The sequence below is a fragment of the Homo sapiens genome, chromosome 11, assembly GCF_000001405.40.
Source record: "Homo sapiens chromosome 11, GRCh38.p14 Primary Assembly".
In the NCBI taxonomy this organism is placed as follows: Eukaryota; Metazoa; Chordata; class Mammalia; order Primates; family Hominidae; genus Homo; species Homo sapiens.
Window position 1 is genome coordinate 112,791,578 of NC_000011.10, and position 20,750 is coordinate 112,812,327.

The 20,750-nt window shown below is 46.3% G+C and overlaps 4 annotated features.

The window, feature by feature from the left end:
• Positions 6,363-7,040: an enhancer, noted in NCBI's record as "H3K27ac-H3K4me1 hESC enhancer chr11:112668663-112669340 (GRCh37/hg19 assembly coordinates)". NCBI's record gives its function as "activates a minimal SCP1, AML or CMV promoter by ChIP-STARR-seq in naive H9 embryonic stem cells {active_cell/tissue: H9 hESC(naive)}" and the evidence as "EXISTENCE:reporter gene assay evidence [ECO:0000049][PMID:30033119]".
• Positions 6,429-6,478: an enhancer, noted in NCBI's record as "active region_5537". NCBI's record gives its function as "activates an Ori minimal core promoter by ATAC-STARR-seq in GM12878 lymphoblastoid cells {active_cell/tissue: GM12878}" and the evidence as "EXISTENCE:reporter gene assay evidence [ECO:0000049][PMID:35858748]".
• Positions 6,509-6,608: an enhancer, noted in NCBI's record as "active region_5538". NCBI's record gives its function as "activates an Ori minimal core promoter by ATAC-STARR-seq in GM12878 lymphoblastoid cells {active_cell/tissue: GM12878}" and the evidence as "EXISTENCE:reporter gene assay evidence [ECO:0000049][PMID:35858748]".
• Positions 7,041-7,718: an enhancer, noted in NCBI's record as "H3K4me1 hESC enhancer chr11:112669341-112670018 (GRCh37/hg19 assembly coordinates)". NCBI's record gives its function as "activates a minimal SCP1, AML or CMV promoter by ChIP-STARR-seq in naive H9 embryonic stem cells {active_cell/tissue: H9 hESC(naive)}" and the evidence as "EXISTENCE:reporter gene assay evidence [ECO:0000049][PMID:30033119]".

A 20,750-nucleotide genomic window follows, 5' to 3' on the forward strand; every position in this document is an offset into this window, starting at 1 on the left:
ATTCTCCCATTATTCTAACAGTGCTCTGTATGGGTAAAGAAAATCCTGCATCACAGGTAACATTCAGCTGTCATGATGTCTCTTTATCTCCTTAAATCTGGAATAGTTCCTACATCTTTCCTTATCTTTTTTGGCCTTGACAGTTTCAATAAATACAGGCCAGTTATTTTGTAGAATTTCTGATTGGATTTTAAGACCATTAATATTCTGTGCGTAGCCTGAAAGAGAGGAATGCTATGACTTCCACATCGTGATTAATGCTAATGAGTCCAAGCACCATAAGAGTCCCATCCATTGCAAGGAACAAGTAGAACACATAAGAGTTGGTAAGCCTGGGCTCCAGTTTGGAGAAAATAAGTCCAAGTCTACCAGTGGTTGAGTGGATCTTCCACCCTTTCATGAGATGAGATCCATGGGGGAGAAGCCATCCTAGCTTCCCTCAATACCTAGGACACTTGTTCATTTGCAACAACCAAATATGGGCCTTTTAGTCACTATAGATGGTTGTCGCAAATGAATGATTGTTTTGTTTGTTATTCACTAAAGCCTAATTAAAACCGAGGTTATCAAGGCAGCTGCCAGCATCCGACATCTTCCTTCTCGCCTTTCCCATCCCATCACCAGTGGACATGATTCATTGGCTTTTAGTGCATTAGGCAAATTTGCTATAATTGCAAAGAGGGGAAGGAGCAGGGGGCCCATGGCACCACCCAGGCAATACACTACCCTTCCTGTAAGTCACACAGACTCCAAGAAAGCGGCTTAAATTGCATTTATTGATTTGTCAGCCTCTAATAGATCCTTTTTCACTGAGTAAAGGACAGAACCCTTAGAGAAAGTTCTTTCTCTTCCTACAACCCTCATCATGGGTCTTGTCTCAGTGGAAGGGTGTCTGTGGGGTTAATGACATGTTGGAGAGAATTAAAATGCAGACATCAATTTTTCCAAAGATACAGCTGAGAGAGGCCCACTGGGGCCTGTTTCCACCTCTGACAGATCCAAACTGGACTTCTTGACCCCAAAATAACTTTCAGGATTCTAATTTCCTTCCACCCGGGGTTTCTAAGATGAGCTTGCTGACTTTATGTTCGGTCCTCTGGAGCAGCTCCTTCTTTTAGACACCTTGGAAAAGGAAAAAGCATAGCATGGCTGTGCTATGGAATCCCATGTGGGAGGGCAGCCAGACAATAGTTCTCTAGCATCAATACTTAGCCAACATTCTACATTCAATAAGCACTTAAAAATTTCCTTAAAAACTGACAGTGTGACAGGCACATCGCTAGATCCTTTGCAAAGTGGAAGTCTTCAAGCACAAAATACTCATAGAGACAGGGATAAAAATAACGGGCCAGGCACGGTGGCTCACGCAGGTAATCCCAGCACTTTGGGAGGCCGAGGTGAGCAGATCATAAGGTCAGGAGATCGAGACCATCCTGGCTAACACGGTGAAACCCCGTCTGTACTAAAAATACAAATAATTAGCTGGGCATGGTGGCATGTGCCTGTAGTCCCAGCTACTCAGGAGGCCGAGGCAGGAGAATTGCTTGAATTCGGGAGGCAGAGTTTGCAGTGAGCCAAGATCGTCCCATTGCACTCCAGCCTGGGTGACAGAGTGAGACTCCATCTCAAAAAATAAAAAATAAAATAAAATAATAAAATAAAATAAACATAACGAACATACAACACAATGTAGTAAGTTCTACAGCGGAGCTCGTACAATATATACAAAGGACTCTGAGGCATTGGGAGGGCTGGAATGGAGCAGAAGGCAGACTTAGTCTTCCCCTGTGCCTAGAATAGGCTCACATTACAGACAGAATGAGGATGGCATTTGTAGTCCACATAGCCTAGCACTTAACTAGGTACTGCCTTCTGCTATTCAATTTAGCTGTTGCATACGAGATGTACCTCCCTCATCTAGATTGTAAGCACCATGAGGAGAGCAATTCTATCTTATGTTTGGGAAATTCTTCACAGCACCCAGCCAGATGCTAATCCCACTGGAAGTCCTCAAAAGGATACTTGGTGGATGACTCAATCCAGGGGATCATACAGCTATGAAGAATACCTGGCCAGCTACCAAATCCAGGCATCTGTGAGGTCTTGGAAGGAGTCTGATGGAGGTAGCAGGTGAAACTCTCTAGGTCAGAGGCAATGACATAACCCCAATATCCCTTTAACACAATGTTATTTCAAACATCCTTACAGTAAAAACACTTTTGTAGCCTCCAGGATATCCATATCCAAGATTCGGTCATTTTTTTTCTTGCAAATTTGTTACAAAAACTTCCAACACAATGAAATTATTTAGACAGTTTCTTGGAATTCACTGTTCACTTTAACAGAATTGAACCTAGAGTTGAAATGGACACAAACCTCACGGGTTATAGATGGGAATATTTTTCAGGGATTGTGGCATAGACAATCGGTTTAGTGAGGAAACACAGGTATTATAGGAGAAAGGGGAAGAAGGAAGGAAAGATGAAAGGGGAAAGGGATAGTGAGGAAGGGCAGGGATATGAGGTGAGTGGAGATAAGAGTGACTATTTGCAAAGATTTCCTGTTTGTCTTCACTTTCTTCAGATGTGGCTTTTTTTTTTTCTGGTCAGGGTGACTTGGCTCAGCCTAATGGGTTTGTTCTACTATCATTTTTATTGTTTACATCAATGGCTCACAATTTTGGCCACCAGTCAGGTGGGACCTTGGAAAGGCAGAGGACCCAAGGGTGCAAAGCCAGAGCATTTCTGGGTGTAGGAATTCAGAGAATGGATCACTTTAGAAACTGGGACTGTGAGGTCAGGACTCCATTCCTTCACATCTGGCCATAGAAGGTTATGACTGGTTTCCAAAGACTGGAAAGTCTTTGGCCTTGGGTACCAAGGACCTGCCCAGAGCATTGTTGGGTTATGACTACTACTATAATTCAGAGATGGTGGCTGAGCAAGCCTGTCAAAGATGAAAATGATGTTGAACTCAGGGCCAGCAGTGTCCAACAGCCGCATGCTGCCGGGTGTGGGTGTGTGGAGACAGCTGGGTGCAAATTCACAGCCAGAGAAAATTCTTGGGGATTTTCAACTGTCTTTTTTTCCCCCTCCAACAATGAATAGGGAGAACCCCAGACAGTAGTAAAAATAGCTCACACTCTCCCTCAAACCTGTCTGGCTTGAGTTTTTGGAAGGCCTGGGGGAAAAGTCACATTTGAAAGTGGAATTTATTTTGGTGATGATGACAGGAAGTTCAGCACTGAGGACAGAAGGCAGCTTTACAGAATAAAAGCCCTCTTCATTATACTATTTTTAAAAATTCCTTCCCACTGCCCCTCCAAAACAAACTGTTCCTTGATACTTTTATTACATTAATGTAATAAAAGTACACTGGAACAAATGCTTTTTTTTCTTCTTCTTTTTTTTTTTTTTTTTTTTTGAGACGGAGTCTCACTGTATCACCCAGGTAGAGTGCAGTGGCACAATCTTGGCTCGCCGCAACGTACACCTCCCAGGCTCAAGAATTCTCCTGCCTCAGCCTCCCAAGTAGCTGGGATTACAAGCACCTGCCACCACGCCTGGCTAATTTTTGTATTTTTAGTAGAGGCAGGATATTGCCATGTTGGCCAGGCTGGTCTCAAACTCTTGACCTCAAGTGATCCCCCAACCTTGGCCTCCCAAATTGCTGGGATTACAGGCATGAGCCACCATTGCCAGCCAGAACAAAAGCTTCTTAAAAGGCAGCAGTTTTCCTGAGAAGTTTTAATGTGGCGGGGTAAGTGTATGTCTCAGTCTCAGCCCTGCCACCTACCGGTGGTGGGAACCCAGCACAGGGTTGAAACACCTAACCTGACAGGCGGTTTCCTCATCTCTAATTCAGGATAGACCCGTCGGCCACGCCAACCTGAATGGGTTGTTATGGAGATAAAATCAGAAGATGTCTCTGAAATTGCTTTGTAAACTGTGAAGTTGCATCCACATGTAAAGCATTGGTATTAAGGAGCTGAATAAAGCCTCCATGGCAAGGAAAACTGTCAGTGAGAAGTAGAAATACTCCCCCTCACAGCGACGCCACAGGGGTGACAGCGAAAGAACAGCTGCTCAGCACCCGAGCTTGTCGGGAGAAAACACAGTGTCATCAGAATAAACCGCATAAATAGAACCCTCTTGGAGTCGTGCACCACCTGTTCCCACAGTTACCATCAGCCAGGCTTCACCACAACCCACCTACTCACGGAGGGCTGAGAGGACAGAAGAGAGGACCCTGTTTTACAGAGAGGTAAACTGAGGCCCAGGAGGGAAAAGCTCTTTCTTGTGGTCACACTGTGACCATGGACTTGAAAAGTCCCAGACTCATCCATTCCAGCACCAAACCCCACCTCCCTCATGATCCTCCTGACCAGCGCAGACCTGCTGCCAGTCAACTGCCAGCCCCCAAAGAGATCACTGGCCTGAGTTCTGAAACAGGCCACCCCCCAGCTGACCTGCTGTGAGCCACCCCTCCGAACTGACAGATGTACTCAGCCCGCAGCCTGCTGGCTCCGAGGACCTGACCTCTTGTCTTAGGAGGGAGTTGGACTGATGGGTAACACCTGCTTACCCCTCGGCAGGGCTGAGAGTCTTTCAGGCAGAACCAGTTTGGTCTATCTCTAACCCGCTAGTTGTTTGGAACCAGTGAACACAGAATGGAAAACAGAGTTCTAAATCCCCTTCACTCTTGAGGGGTCTTGGAAAACGCCGCTGCCAGGAGCTGGTATAAATCAGAGTGTTCTGAATGAATTAGGGATCCCATATTCTTCCCTCAACCCCAGCAAACCTCTTGGAGAGAGGCCCTGTGTGAGAGCATTAATAAATCACAGCTCAGTATAGCAGGTCGCTGGGCTGTTGGCACACTGTGGCTTTCCCCGGAGATGTGAGCGGCCGTGCAGAGCCTGTCAGAACTGGGGCTCTGAAGCCAGCCTGAACTTCTCACCCTGCCCTCGGCTGTGTCACCACACTGCTGCCCTCACTGGTGCCTCTTCTCCGCGGTGGCCAGCGATGCATATTATTCATTCAGATGTAGCTCCTGCTTAGAATGCGTGGTCAGCCCAGACTGCCCAGCAAGGGCCACCTGAGTTTTACTGGAACTCTGCTGCACTGTTTAGTTTACTCTTGATCCGGGCTGCTTTCATGCTATGAGGGCAGAGTTGAGTAGTTGAGACAGAGACCGCGTGGCCTGCAAAGCCTAAAATATTTACTGCCTGGGCCTTTACAGAAAAAGTGTGCCATTCCTGCATTATGTAGTTATCTTATTTAATTCTAACAATTACACTGTGAACTTGGTATGAGGACTTCTCTTAGAGGGGGAGAATCTGAAGATCAGTGTTTTAGTAACTTGCCCAAAGATGGACAACTGGTAAGAGGCAGAGCCCTTGCTCAGACCCTAGGTGTTTCCACTTCAAAGTCCAGATATACAATTCTGTCCCTCTGGGACACGTCCAGTCAACAGGCAAGACATGTTAGCACTACGGTGAAAGGTCTCATCTTTCTTGAATGGGAGAACCAGGTTTGAAACCATCATTTTGAACAAGGACTGGTTTAGGCCTATGTCATCCCCAGCCTTTCCCTCAGGTTCCAGATGGCAAGAAGCTGCTCTGAAGACCTACCAGGCAGGAGTCACAGCTTGTAAATAAACCTGAAACCCAGAAGAGCCAGTTAGGCTGGAGCAGCCCCTGGCCAGGCCAGGCAGAGTTACCATGACGACAGAGTCATTTCCATCACAAACCCTGCAACAGGCTTCCAGAAGGTGATTAATGGTTGACCTCTGGGGGCTGGGAACTCTCCCGGGGAGTATTCTTTCTAGTCTGGTGCAAAGCTTGGACCATCTACTTCTCTGCTCTCTGGTGGAGGTGAATATTGTAGTTGAGGATGCAGAGATAAAGCACCCCATCCCCTGACCTCCTAAATCCTGAAGTCAACCCAGGAAGCACCCTGTGAAAACCATGCTCCAGCCTTGAGCAGAGGCAGGCTAATCCAAGAAACTCAAGGGCAGACAAAAGAAAACAAGGGAAGCCAAGGGAATGAGTGAAAGACTATATAAGTTGGTTCATTCTTGCTGGATAAATGGCACCCACTCACCAAAGGGAGAAGGTACAAAAAAGAATTCAGCGAGGCAAGAAGCAGGTAGTGAAAAAAGGCGGGGGAATCCTACCTCCTTTGAGTCCAGAGAAAAGCCTTTTCTACAAACTCAAGAAGAGGGGGCGGAGAAGGACGGGCCGCCTGCCAAAGCAGTGACCCATGTTGATTGTGAATTTCAACAATAGTGACTTGAGGAGGCTCAGATGTCCCACGTCCCCTCGCCCATCGCCAATGGGTGGTCACCGACTGCCTGCCAGGTGGGGTGACCCGGGTTCTGCACCCCAACCTTGGGATGTCTGTTATAGAGCCATTTGGGGCTCATTCATTGACAGTTTTTCTCTCTGCTGACATTTGGGTGGCTCTGCCTGCCTAGTCATTGTTTTTGTTTGGCCATTTTCACTGTGGATGAGTCACTCCCCGTCGAACCCTGCAGGGGGCGGTCAGGTGCTGGCTGTGTTGGTACCAGAATCCCAGCAGCTGGTTGTATCAGTTTCATTCTTTTCGCTGAGACAGTGTAACTCTGGGGTTGAAATGGTGAGCTTGTGTGAGAGAGGAAAGAGAAGGCATCTCCCCACTTGGAGTCTGAGCACACTGCTTTGAAATGCAGCTCAGGAAGAGGCTCCCAGCCCTCACTCTGTCCTCTTCTGCTTTTGGAAAAGTAGAACCAGGAAATCGTATCTCCGATGGCACACCCTAACACCATCAGAACGTCCCACAGCTGCACCAAGACCCAAAATACTCCATGAAGAAATGTCATTGTGGATGAGGACCTCAGTTCACAGACCCATTCCTACAAAAAAAAATTAGCTACATTTTCTATAACTCAAATGATTTTCAGTTTCAAGCTCCCATTCTGTGGCAGGAAATTAATCTCAGTTAATTTCAGGTCTCCCATTTTTCACTTAACAGGAAGTTGCATCCAATTTAGGGAGGGGCTACCTGGTGCCCTTGCATGAAGTGGGGGGCAGGGGTGCGATCCCATCCTCGGTGACATCTCGTTGGCATCCACGCACATGTCCTTGTCCTATCTGGGCTGTGGTCCTCTGGCTACGTGGTCACTGCTGTGTCCTCTTCTCATCGCAGAGCCTTTCCAGGTTTCTGGGCTTTTCTGGGCCACATGCCCACAGCTCTCAGCTGCACACTATATGTTCTGCTTTGTGGAGACCTTGTGAGGCTGCTGTCCATACTCCTGGATACCCCTTTCTGGGAGCACTCACCATTCACTACATTTCCCGCTTCCTTGACTCTCCTTCTTTGCTAAGCGCATCTAGATGCGCCTGGATTCCAAGCATCTAGATAGGTCTTGTTCCAAATCCTCCGATTTTGTCCTGGGTTCTCTCTGACCTGCTTTGACTGCTGCACTTTTGAAATTCAAATTACAAGAACTGGCTTCTGGATTTATCATGACTCCTTGCCTGCCGCGTCTGACCGGGGCACCGGGGGAACCCACCACCTCCTAACTCTGTGGAAGTCCAACGTCACCCTGATTTCAAGTTCTCAGGTGGCTTGTGTCCTCATGGTCACATCTGACTCAAAGCAGGGTTTTCTCTGCATTAATCCAGGCTATGGCTGCTTGCTGCCCACTCCTACTGTCCCCCTCTTACAACACATCAACCCAGGTGCCAAATTCAGACCCTTTATAGGATTTACAAATGCACTCTCCATACTATGCTTCTATGTGTGTGTTAGATTTTACCGAAAGCAGGGTAGGGATGAAGAAGGATGTTATTGAGCAGCAACCTCCCAACAAATATTCCAAAGGAGTGTCAGATCCCTGTGAAAGCCCCCTCGGCCTGGGTCTGCCTCCAGAGGCCTGGCAGGGCAGCCCTTGCTCTGCTCTTGCCTCTGCAGCGCCAGACCCTATTGCTGCAACTGCTGGCTCGTCTTCCCCATCTCACCCCCCTTGGCCTTCTGGATTGTCTCCAGGAACTCAAACCCCTCTCATTCTCCCAGGCTTTCTCTCCCGATCCTGTTCCTAAGTCAGCCCCTGGCCACCTTTCCACCTCCTACCCAAGCTGCAGCAGAACAAGACAGACTTCTTGTGTGTAGGACCTACTTTTCTCAGAAGGAAATTAGGCTTGTAAAGAACATTTGTTTCTTTTTTTTTTTTTTGCAAAATGAACAAACGTAAAATGCCTGTTTGGTATTGCCATTAGAAACAGGGAGGGAGGAAACATCTGTTATAGCCCCCACCCATTGGAGATTGGTAGGAAAAAAAATGCCTAAAGCTACAATGGCTTCATTATCTAAGTGTGGGTTCTCCTCTTTAAGGATGGCCTGCAGCACAGTTTCAATCTCAGTCTGACTTTCCCTGCCATTTAGTGTATGCCTGGTATGTCTTCAGGGAATATAAACTAATATCAATATTAGATTGAGTAGCAAATGATTAGGAAGGAAAATAATGTATGGCAAAACTAAATTTGGGGGCCAGGCATGGTGGCTGACGCCTGTAGTCCTAACACTTTGGAAGGCCAAGGCAGGTGGATTGCCTGAGTTCAGGAGTTCAAGACCACCCTGGGCAACATGGTGAAACCCCATCTCTACTAAAAATACAAAAATTAGCCAGGCGTGGTGGCGGGCACCTGGAATCCCAGCTACTCGGGAGGCTGAGGCAGAAGAATCACTTAAACCAGGGAGGCAGCAGTTACAGTGAGCTGAGTTTGTGCCACTGCACACTGCACTCCAGCCTGGGCGATAGAGCAAGACTCCATCTCAAAAAAAAAAAAAAAAACCAAAAACAAAAACAACAACAACAAAAAACACTAAATGTGAGGATTTCCAAATAATCCACAGGAAAAGAAAGCCTCTCCATTTATAATAGGGAAGGGACTATCTTTATCCAAAGGTGCCCCTTTCTGAAAATGAGGCAGCACTGAGCATCAGACACACCAGGGTCTCACCTGCCTCTCGTCCCCTCCTGTACTGCAGGCTCCCTCCCCAGGGCCCTTTTCCTGACCACAGCTCCCCACATAGCCTTTCCCATCTCCTGCCCTGTGTGGAACCTCACCTGTTCAGCATTCCCCTCTCTATCCCCAGGGCCCTGTTCTCAGCTGGGAAGCTGATAAACCGCACTAAAGTGATAATGGATGTAATAAGTTAATGTGTTACCCTTCTCCGGTAACATTTGCATTTTGACAGGGTCTTTCTGAAGAGAAATTGTTCTTAACAACACAATGGCTGGAACTGGGAGCACTTCAGCACCTGCGTCTGGTGGGCCTATGGAAATATATTTGTTACAAGAGGGGTTTTGATTCCTCAGATCCCACTGTTCAGAGAACAATAAGAAGAGCCTCCTGAAGGGGCTACTGAGCCAAGGCCCTGAGACGCAGGCCTAGGATGAATAAGTCACCCCCACCTTAGAGAAAAGGAAAAGACAAAGGGCCCAAATAGAAAGGGGGCTGGGGTGGAGGAAACCCCTGTGGAAGACAACTGACATTTCTGGGCCACAAAAGTGTCCTCCCCTTCAAATAGGAGGCTGGCAAAGGCTTCATAGCAGAGACTGCATTGGGGTAACGTCACATGAAACAGGCATTTCCACAGGGCTGACTGCCAGCCTTGGCAGGATGGGAGGGGGTCAGGGAAGCAGTGGGTGAGGTATAGAGACATGCTCCAGAATGACAGAGTTGTTGGGGGTCTGGAGAAGCTACGCAACAACTGGCCCACCTCTGAGCTTCAATGACCTCCTGATGGCCACAGGTGGTGTTCCTCAGGGCGGGCAGGTGCGGCCTGGCCACATTGCAGGGTCATTAGCACCAGCTGTTTTAACCTACCCTCAAGCGGGCCACACTGCCTTCTGCTTCAGGGCTGGGCTGGCCAGAAATCGGGCCTTTGTGTACGGATGCTACATCTTACCCCAGACTCTGCCAACCTCCTCGTACCTCCTGGGACCTACCGTCTCACTCCTCAGTAATAGTCCCAGTTATGGAGAAGCTCTCTTCCTACTTTTCTTCGTGGCTCTGCCTCTCACTCCCAGGGAGAACTCAGGGTCCTACAGCTCAGACTCAACACTGCTTCGCCCCAGGCCTTCAATCCCACAAACTGCACTTTCTAAGGGATTAAAAATGAGCAGCTGCCCACAGGAAAGTGGACCCTGCTGCCCAGCACTTGGCTGGTATACATGGAGCACAGGCCTGCTTGTGTCTCAAAATAAATTCCACATCTATAAAATAATCCTGAGAGCTGGCGGCTGGTGGTTGGCAAGTACTGCAGCGAGCTGGCCTGCAGCAGAGGAGGCAGGACCAACCAGGCTGTTACTGCATGACTACCGTGCACCTATGGCCCCTGGAGGCCTGAGCCCCACAGGCAGGAGGCTCAGCACCATGCGATTCTGACGCCTCCCCTGGAGCCCAGATCATCCAGGTTCACTGTATCCCCCACACCAATCTTGGGAGACTCAGTACAAGTAGATCAACCCATCTCCTCTCTACATTTTCAGGGAAATTTGGCTCAGAGTCCAAGGCTGAACCTTGTGATGAGGAAACCTTGCTGGAAGCTGACCTTTACTGTAGGGGCCCTGATTCAATATCCTATATCCACAAAAAATGCACATACAGGGCAGCGAGGTTCTAGCCTTCCCCTCTGCCATCTTGATCTGTGAGGGTCTCCTTGGAAAAGTCTATGTGTCTCCTACAGTGCCAAGCAGGGGAGGAATCAGAATTAGTCCAGGTGGCAGCATCCTTTTATGATATGATATAAACTCAACAAATTAGGTATAGAAGGAATGTACCACAACACAATAAAGGCCATATATGACAAGCCCACAGGTGATATCACACTTAACATTGAAAAGTTGAAAGCCTTTGCCCGAAGATTAGGAACAAGACAATGATGCCCACCCTTGCCATTTCTATTCAACATAGTACTGGAAGTCCCAGCAAGAGCAATTAGGCAAGGAAAATAAATAAAAAACATCTACATTGGAAAGGAAGAAAAAGAAATAAAAAGCATCCAAATTGTCTGCGTGTGGATGATATAATCATATATAGAAAACCCTAAAGACTCCACCAAACCTATTAGAACTAATCACAGATTCAATAAAGATGCAGAATCTGCAAAATCAGTATCCAAAAATGAGCAGCATTTCTATAAACTAACAATGAACTATTTGGAAAAGAGATAGAAAACAATCCTATTTACAATAGCTACAGAAAAAATACATAGAAATAAATTTAAACAAGAAGGTGAAAGATCTATCTACACTGTAAAACATTGATAAAATACATTAAAGAAGAAACAAATAAATGGAAAGGTTTCCTGTATTTAATGGATTGGAATAATTACTATTATTAAAATGTCCATACTACCCAAAGATATGGACAGATCCAATGCCACCTCTATCAAAATTTCAAGGACATTTTTCACAGAAACAGAAAAAAAATTCCAAAATTTATAGGAAACCAGAAAAGACCCTGAATGGTCAAAGCTATCTGAAGCAAAAAGAACAAAGCAGAAGGTGTTACACTACCTGATTGCAAAATCTACTACAAAGCTATATGAATTTAAACAGCATAGTACTCGTGTAAAAACAGACACATGGGCCAATAGAACAGAATAGAGAGCCTGGAAATAAATCCATGAATTTATAATCTATTTATTTTTGACTCAGTTGCCAAGAACACACAACGAGGAAAGTTCTCTTCAACAAATGGTACTAAGAAAACTGGATATTCACATGCAGAAGGATGAAATTATCATCTCACACCATATACAAAAATCAACTCCAGATGGATTAAAGACTTAGATGTAAGACCTGAAACCTTAAAGCAACTGGAAGAAAACATAGAGAAAAAGCTTCATGACATTTGTCTGGGCAATGATTGTTTAGATCTGACCACAAAAGCATAGACAACAAAAGCAAAAATAGACAAATGAAATTACATCAAACTAAAAAGTTTTTGCACAGCAAAGAAAAGAATCAACAGATTGAGGAAATAACCCACAGGATGGGATAACATGCTTGCAAACCATATATTTAATGAGAGGTTAATATCCAAAATATGTAAGAAACTCAAACGACTCAATAATAAGAAAACAAATAACCCTGACAGGCGTGGTGGTGCACACCTGTAATCCCAGAACTTTGGGAGGCTGAGGCAGGTGGATCACCTGATGTTAGGAGTTCAAGACTAGTCTGGCAAACATGGTGAAACTCCGCCTCTACTGAAAACACAAAAATTAGCTTGGCATGGTGGCGGGCGCCTGTAATCCCAGCTACTTGGGATTACATACAAATGGGAAGTAATGGAGTGCGGCCTGGGCGACAGAGTGAGATTCTGTCTCAAAAACAAAAACAAAAACAAAAACAAAAACAAAAACAAATAACCCAATTTAAAAATGGATATAGGGCCTGAATAAACATTTTTTAAAAGAAGACATACAAATGGCCAACAGACATATGAAAAAATGCTCGACAATACTAACAATCAAATAAATGTAAATTAAAACCTCAATCTCACAACTGTTAGAATGGCCAATCAGAAAGATGAAAGATAACAAGTGTTGGTGAGGTTGTGGAGAAAAGGGAACCCATGCACATGATTGGTAGGAATGTATATCAGTACAGCTATTATGGAAAACAGTATGGATGTTCCTCAAGAAATCAAAAATAGAACTACAATATGATGCAGCAATCCCACTACTAGGTATATATCCAAAGGATATAAAATCAGTACGTTGTAGAGATTATCTACACTTCCACATTCATTGCAGCATTATTCACAATAGCCAAGATATGGAATCAAACACTAAGGGATAAATGGATAAAGAAAATGTGGTATATATACACAATGGAATATTATTCAGCCTTTAAAAAGAAGGAAATCCTGTGATTTGCAACAACATGGATGAACCCAGAAGACATTATATTAAGTGAAATAAGGAAAGCTCAGAAAGACAAATACTGCATAATCTCACTTATATGTGGAGTCTTAAAAAGTTGAACTCAGAAGCAGGGAGTAGAATGTTGGTTACCAAATATTGGGCATGGGCAGAAGGTTGGAGAGATGGGGAGATGTTGATTAAAGGATGTGAAATTTCAGTTAGACAGGAGGAGTAAATTCAAAATTCACTATTGTACAACGTGGTGACTACAGTTAACAATATAATGTACACCTGAAAACTGCTAAGAGTGTAAATTTTAAGTATTTTTACCACACACAAAAAAGTATGTGATGTATTGCATATATTAAAGAGCTTGATTTACCCATTCCACAATATATACATATATCATTTCATACCATAAATATAGACTATTTTTATTTCTCAATTTAAAAAATCCAATCAAATCAATTAAAAACTGTTTTTAAATAACCAGTCCAGATGCTCCTGGAGGGGGAATTGACACACAGGTGAAAGTTACAGGTAAGCGAGTTTCTGTGCAATCAAAAGAACTTTCAAACAGACAGCACTATCTAAAAATAATGTGCTATCTTGGGAGGTAGTGAGATCACTGTCCCTAGAGGTGTTCAAGCAGGGGCTCAAAAACCACCTATAAGAAAGCGCACAGCCAGCAATCAAGCACTAGAAGAAGGCTGGTTGAGTTGACACTTCTAATGGTCATTTAAAGACATAGTGTATGTGAAAGGCTTCTGATTGGATGGAAGGGTATTGATTGAGTATCGTTACCTCACTTAGATCACCACATTGGGTTGGGAGGGATGGAAAAGTAAATTAACATTTATTGAAAATCCATTATGTGCTGGACACATTATCTTTAATCTTCACAAATGTATGAGAAAGGGTTTATTATTTCTGTTTAATAGTGAGAAAAACCGATTTCAGAGATGCTAAGAACCTTGCCCTAAGTCACCTTATGTGAGCAGGGAGCACAGCCAGGACCTGGGGGTCCAGGGCTATTGGCAGTTACACTGCACTGTGTACCCTCTTCTGAAGAAGCTCGTGCTGTATGGTCCCTTCACCACCCTCCTGGAACCCCATCCTCCTCTTTGCCTCCATGGAGAGTGGGCTTGCATAGAGGCCTGACTGGCTAGCTCAAATCTGTCACTAAAGCACTCATCAGGCTTTAGTGAATCTGTCACTCATCAGCCAGAAGGCCTCATGGGTGATTGTGCCCGGCAGCCACTGGCCAGGGCAGCTCCTGCCAAGTCATTAAGGGAGTGTCTTAGTCCAGGCAAGTAAGACCTGTTATGGGGTTAAGAGCCTGTTTACTTTTCACTAGTGCTGTTGCAGGGGGCAACGTGATGTTGGTGTCAGGGAAGCTGCCACTTTGTTAGTTTACAGGCAAATTGCAGGATTGTTTACAGCAGCCCTTGCTTCCCCCGGGGCATGAAAGAACCAGCCATGTGGCAGCTTTCCTAGCAGGTAATCAGCAAGTTGAGCAGGGATGTAGGACTACAACTGGTTCTGGGATGGGAGGACCTGTATAGGCAGCCAAGCGGGCACTGGGGAGAAGGGAGGCAAGGAGCCAGCAGGTGCTGCAGCAGGTGGGGTACGTCACTGCTGTAGGTCATGGCTGGTGGAAACGTGTCTTTGTGCAGGCAACAGCAATCCTGCCTACAGTAATCTAAACTCTGTCTTTAGTGTGGTCTTTCCTTCCACCCATGTTAGCCTCATGGGGAAACTGAGGCAAGCCAGAGCTGTAAAAGACTCAAGAGTTAGCTCTGAGCTGGACTACTTGGGCACAAGTCTGGTGGAAGCTAGTACTAATGGATCTCTTTGCTCCTTGTTTCATTGAAAGGAAAGCAGTGGTGGCAAAGAGAGGCCAACCATTCCCAGAAGGCCCAGAGTAGTAGCCAGGGTTGACCACCCAGGAGCAGGGTGGAGATGAGGGAAGTCTGCAGCTGTCAGCCTAAGTCCTGGCTTCCCTAGCCCTGCCTATTTTTGCTTTCATACCTTGGCCCCCTAAGACCTTCACTTTGGGGAAACTACCCAGAGACTGGGCTTCTTCCTCTACCTCCATCTCCTTTCTAGCCCTTTTCTCTGCAGGGTCTGCAGAAATTTCTACCTGAAGGGTCATCTCAAGGGGTCTGCATCCCTCTCCCTCAAGTCCACTGGACTTAGCCTCTCTGTGATCACTCTTCCCGGAAGGTGAAGCAGTGAGTGATCCTAAAAAAGTGAGCACCAAGCCTGAACAAGGGATTGATTCCAGCAGTTACTCAGAAATCAAATGTCTCTGCCATGTGCTGCTATGAGATGGTTAAACTCAACTCACAAGTCAGTAGAAGTGTGTTTTACAAAAACTCGGAGTGATAGTCTGGCAGGGAAAGGGTTAGGCAGCTGGGGAAATTCGCTGATAGCAAGCAGCATTTCATCTGCATAACAGCTGTTCCCTCTTCTCCCTTCAAGGGTCCTGACATGGGTGGTAGACCTGATGCACTAACTGAGAAGGCCAGGGACAATTTCCAAGTGAAATTCTATCCTGTAGACAGGAAATGTGTTCATTCATTTGCTTGAGTTGTCAGCCTGTAACTGAGCTTCCTATATGCATTTCCACCCAGCAGGGACAAGGCAGGAGGGGTGAGCAGGCAGGTTAGAAGAAGTAGGGACACGAATTCATAATCAGGATTTGCTAGATCCTCTTAGAGGGAGTCAGCATTTGTGGGGCAATGAGATTATTTACAGAGCTATGAGCAATAGCAATAGCTAGTGAAAAACAGAGACTGGAAAAGCAACAGAAGAGAGCGAGGGTGGGAGATGACCCCCAGAAACCTTGTTCTTGGAGCCTGTAGAAAAATGATTTTCAGACTACAGCAGACCTCTGAATATATCTTTCAGGAGCTATTAGTATCATATATTGGTCCCGAATCTTAAAGCTTGAATTGAGGAGATGATGGTTTATAGATTCAAAGGAGTAGGATTTGTTTTTTGTATGCAACTGAGGATTTTTTTTTCTTCCTTCCCCCATGTAAAGGTCAGGTGATGCTCAGAAATTTCAAGCCCCTTGAAAAAGCAGGAAAAAAGCAGACTGCAGTCCTTAACCCTGAAGATGGCTATGGCCTGTGAAACCAGGGGAAGTGGAAGTTAGAGGGTCACTCAGGGCAGTTGAGCCTGGGGAGGGTGGAGCCCCCTATTTCAGAATGGTTCCATCAGGCCCAGATGGGGGCCTCAAAGAGCTGGTCAGCTGGACACCCTCTGACTCCTCCCTCCCCCATCCCTGTGCTTCCCTGGACCTGGGATCAAACCTATTTTCAGGGCAAACCTTGCAAGGGCTCCAAACTGGGAGAGAGCGGGTGGGAGGGAGGTGCAAGAAGAGAGGGCACTTTGCTGTTTACAGCTAAGCCCTGGTGTCTGAAAGCCTCAAACTGAAGACATCAATAATTCATACATTCATATGCTGTAGAGTATTTCCCCTTTTGTCACATATCTGGCCAATTGATTTCCCTTGGCCACAAACCTGCTGCTTTTAGAACATCATTAATAACAAGTCAACTGGTAAAATCTTCCCTGGGAGAGGGGGCTTTGGTTGGGAGAGGTTCCTGACCTTGTTTCCCCCAAGAAAAGGGGCTGTGAGCAGCCCTGGCAGCAGAATGTATGCACATGGGCTGGGAGCCTTCCTCCTCCTGTTTTAGTGGAAGAAGGGACTGGGGGCCAGAGAGATGAGATGCCCACCCTATGGCCTCCCCAGGCTATTGCTGGAACCCTCTGATAGGGTTACAGGGAGAGAAGGAAAGAGAGAGAGAGAGAGAACTTGGGAGCCTCAGAATAAGAATACAGGTTCCTAATGGAACCCTCTCTAGCAGCCTCCTCCTCCCCTCCTCACCCCAGGTTCTGTCTCTGGGGGTTTCCGTGTCTGATCCTCAAGTACCACGGGATGAAACTAATCAGGGGCTCTGGAATTACTCAAAGAGCTGGGAGCCCATGGTGCAACCTGGAGCTTCTACCAAAGCCTCCCTGCACCTCGTCAGGGAAACCAGGAGGCCACCCAGCTGAGGCCCTCTTGGAGTGGCAAAATGGGGCAAGGGCATCTTTCCTGCTGGCTCCATTCCCTGAGCCCCTTCCATGGCATCCGGAGCCCAGATTGTCTCCTCCTTCTGCTTCTGTGAGTCCCTGGACAGCACCTGGCTCGTAGGGAATGACCCTTCATGGATACTCACAAGAGACTTGTTGAAAGAGTAAATGAAAGCGGAAAGGAACTGACAACTCATTCACAGTAAGTAAAGTGCTGCCACTTCCTCAGGACTCTGGGTTTACAGAGACTCAAAGGAATGAGTCTCTACTGGTGGGATGTCAGCAACTTGGGAGAATAGCTAAATAGGGTTTTTTGTCTTAAGGGCAGTGCGTGAAATCAGATGGCTAGAGCCTACATCACCTATGTGACACTGGTCCTGATGAAAACTCCCCCTCTCTCATTGCGCTGGGTAGGAGAAGTCCCTCTGGAAGGGTGTTCTTCAAGGCTGGTAGAAAAACCTGCACTGAGCAGTGCCCGCTGTGGGAGGAGAGGGAGCAGGCCTTTCCCCACTCCTTGCCAGGGGCATCGCCAAGGTGTGTGCACCAGGAAGCCCATACCACCACTCATACCCACTCCCCCCTGGCCAGTGAGACCCCCCCATGAGAACCCCTGTTACAGGGAGGCTGTGATCCAGACAGGAGGGAAGAGTCTAACAGTTCTGCTTTTATCACTAATGTGGTGAGATCTTACATCGCCAACAGGAAGGCCTCCCAGAGGGCTCTGCTCTTCTGATCCCACTGAAGAGTCCTCCCTGCTCCTCTCAGCCCCATGGTTTATATCTCTGGAAATCTCCTGGTTGGCCTGATATTGATTTGGCTTCGAAAAGGAGTCAGTAAGAAATACACACACCACAGGTCTGAAATAGAATCTGTCCTTTGCAGTTGCAGCAAATACTCCCCAAAAGCTGGGTCTGTTTTCAATACAGCTACCCTAGGTGGGGCCCAGGGCCCCAGAGCTGCATGCTGTAGCCAGCCTTTGCCTTATAAGACCATGGGGGCCCAGTTCCAGTGGGCAGCTTCTACAGACACGGTGTTCTACAGACAGGATAAATATTTGTGTTATATTCACACACACAGCTTGGAGCCTGAGCCAGCTTTATGGCCAGGCCTGGGGAGACCAGAGGCTGAGCTGCACCAGCTAACACAAATGTGCTTTCCTGGTGGCATTACAAGAAAGCAATTTGGGCTTGGGGATGAAGAGAGAGTTATTCGGCCTGGATGGGTGGGCCCTGAACCCATAGATCCCTCCAGTCCAGCTTTCCCTCCCTAATGGATTGACCCCCACCATGCCTAAGACAGCATATGCTGAACCACCTCCTGCCCCCATGAATTGTTTCATCCCCGAGTAGATGTTGGAGCCTCAGAGGGCCTGAAGGTTATCTTGTCCAGATGTACTTAGTGGGGCTGGAGAGTTGGAGTATTTGCCTACCATCACCCAGCCAGTCGCGTCTGCTTCCCTGGGTCCCTCCCCATTTATGTATGTATGTATGTATGTATGTATGTATGTATGTATGTATGTATGTATGTATGTACAGTGTTTCCCTCTGTCTCCCAGGCTGGAGTGCAGTGGTGCAATCCCACTCACTGCAATGTCCGCCTCCTGGACTCAGCCTCCCCAGTAGCTGGAACTACAGGTGCACGCGCCACCACACCTGGCTAATTTTTGTATTTTGTGTAGAGACGGGGTTTTGCCATGTTGCCTAGGCTGGTCACAAACAATCCTGGGCCCAAACAATCCACCTAACTTAGCCTCCCAAAGTGCTGGGATTACAGGCATGAGCCACTGCACCTGGCCCCCATTTTAAATCTATAAAGAAAGTCCTCTTTTTCTAAACTTCAGGAGGTTTTCCAAACCACAGTGGTATTTTTTTGTTGTTGTTTGTTTGTTTTTTCCCTCAACATCTCTGGGAGGCATCAGACCTCTAGATCCAGAGAAATGTCCTGCCTGGGGCAGAAGGGCAAAGCTGGCTACATTTTTTATCTACATCTCTCATTCCTTGTTCTGTATTCCCTACGTACACTTTCATGTTTCCCACTCATTCCCCTAGAAAGAAATGGACTTTTACTAAGGACCTAACATAAGCCAAGTTGTTTTCAATTTACAGCAACTCTATGAGGTGAGAGTTATTTTTCCCAAAGCAACTGTAACTAGTGTGTTGAATAAACAAGACCCATGAGACATATTCAAAAATTTTTTTATTTTGTTTGCCATTGCCCTTTAAATATATTCAGAGCTTGTTCAGTCCCTTGAAACTGGGTAAAATCTCCAATTTTTCTGCTCACTCTTAGAGAATATAGGTCATTTTAAATCAACAATATATTTTAAATCAATAATTAAAAGTGTCTAGTTCAATATAATAGTCAACACATTGATCTTTATACAAAGATATATTAATCAGGATGTTATAGGTCTAGCTGTACTAACAAAGAAGCCAAAAAGGTCTGTAATTAATGCACACATTTTATTATACTTCTCACTCATCCAGAGCCCACTATAGGTCAGGAGACTCTTGTAGGCAGCTGTCCTCCATGTGATGACTCAGGGATTCAGGCCAGTTTGATCTTGTGGTTCCATTACCAACACATGCCTTCATGCTCCTGGGCAACAGAGACAAAGAAAGCCTAGAGGCTTACAGGGCCCTTGCTGTGCCTTAGTCTGGATACGACACACAGCACTTCCAATCTCATTTCCGTCCACAGAACCAATCATATTTCCCACCCAACCTCAGCAGGGCTGGGTAGTATGAAGGAAGAAACATGAGGAGAAATTGGCGAACACAGGACATTTTCTCTGCCACTAAAGACAACCCTTATCCTGATGCCCCAGCTGCAGTTAGCACAGACAGGCCCCTACTACAGAGTAAAGGGGATGGCATCAGCTTCTTCTTGCTTTCTCAGACACCTCCCTTCTGCTCAACTGTTTCTGATCTCTCTGGAGTTGGAGCCTTGGGAGGGAGAAGAGGTTAAAAGAACAGGTAAGTTTTCTCTTGATAGGTATTGCAGTAAAACGACTTCAAGAGCTCTGGGCCTGGCAGGTATCTAAAGTTGTCTTGCCTCTCATGACACTCTCATGGCTTGTCAGAGGCCCTGCTGGAAAACTAACAGCATTTCCCACGACCCTGACTCGGTATTGCCTTCCTGTTGGTCACCCCCCTTTCAATGCCTCGGTTTTCTGACAGTCTACTCCACATGGGTTCTCTCTGTTGGATTTCCACTGCGATCCTTCTGGATTTAGGTCAGTTCTCTCTCCCACCGGTGCCTATATGGTCCATAAAAAGCACTCCTGCCTCTTTTGTTCTGACAAATCCCAGGAGTATAGGCCAGTGTCAATTCAGCAGCAGCTTTCCTTAACTTCTCAACTGAAGCAGCTGGTCTGCCAAGCCCTCCTGCCTTCGAGGTTTCATGGGCAGGAGTCCAGCACCAGCCTTCTGGGTCCTCCTAACTGCAGGGAATAATGTCAAGCTGCCTAAGTGGTGTATCCTCTTGCCTTGAGGTGAAGGGAAAGTACTTCCACCCTCTGTCTTATGGGGCTGGAAGCTCTAGGCATGGCTCATTTCAGAGGCATACTTTCTGTTAAATTCTCTCTTCGCTTCCAACAAATTGGCAATGTATGATTTCCACATTGTGGGCGAGGGATTTTGAGAATTGTGATTATGGATTTCTAGGTAATACTTTTGTAAATTCTGCGTGTGGTCTAGTGTACTTCATTCAATTTAACACTGTGTAATACAAGTGACAGACACC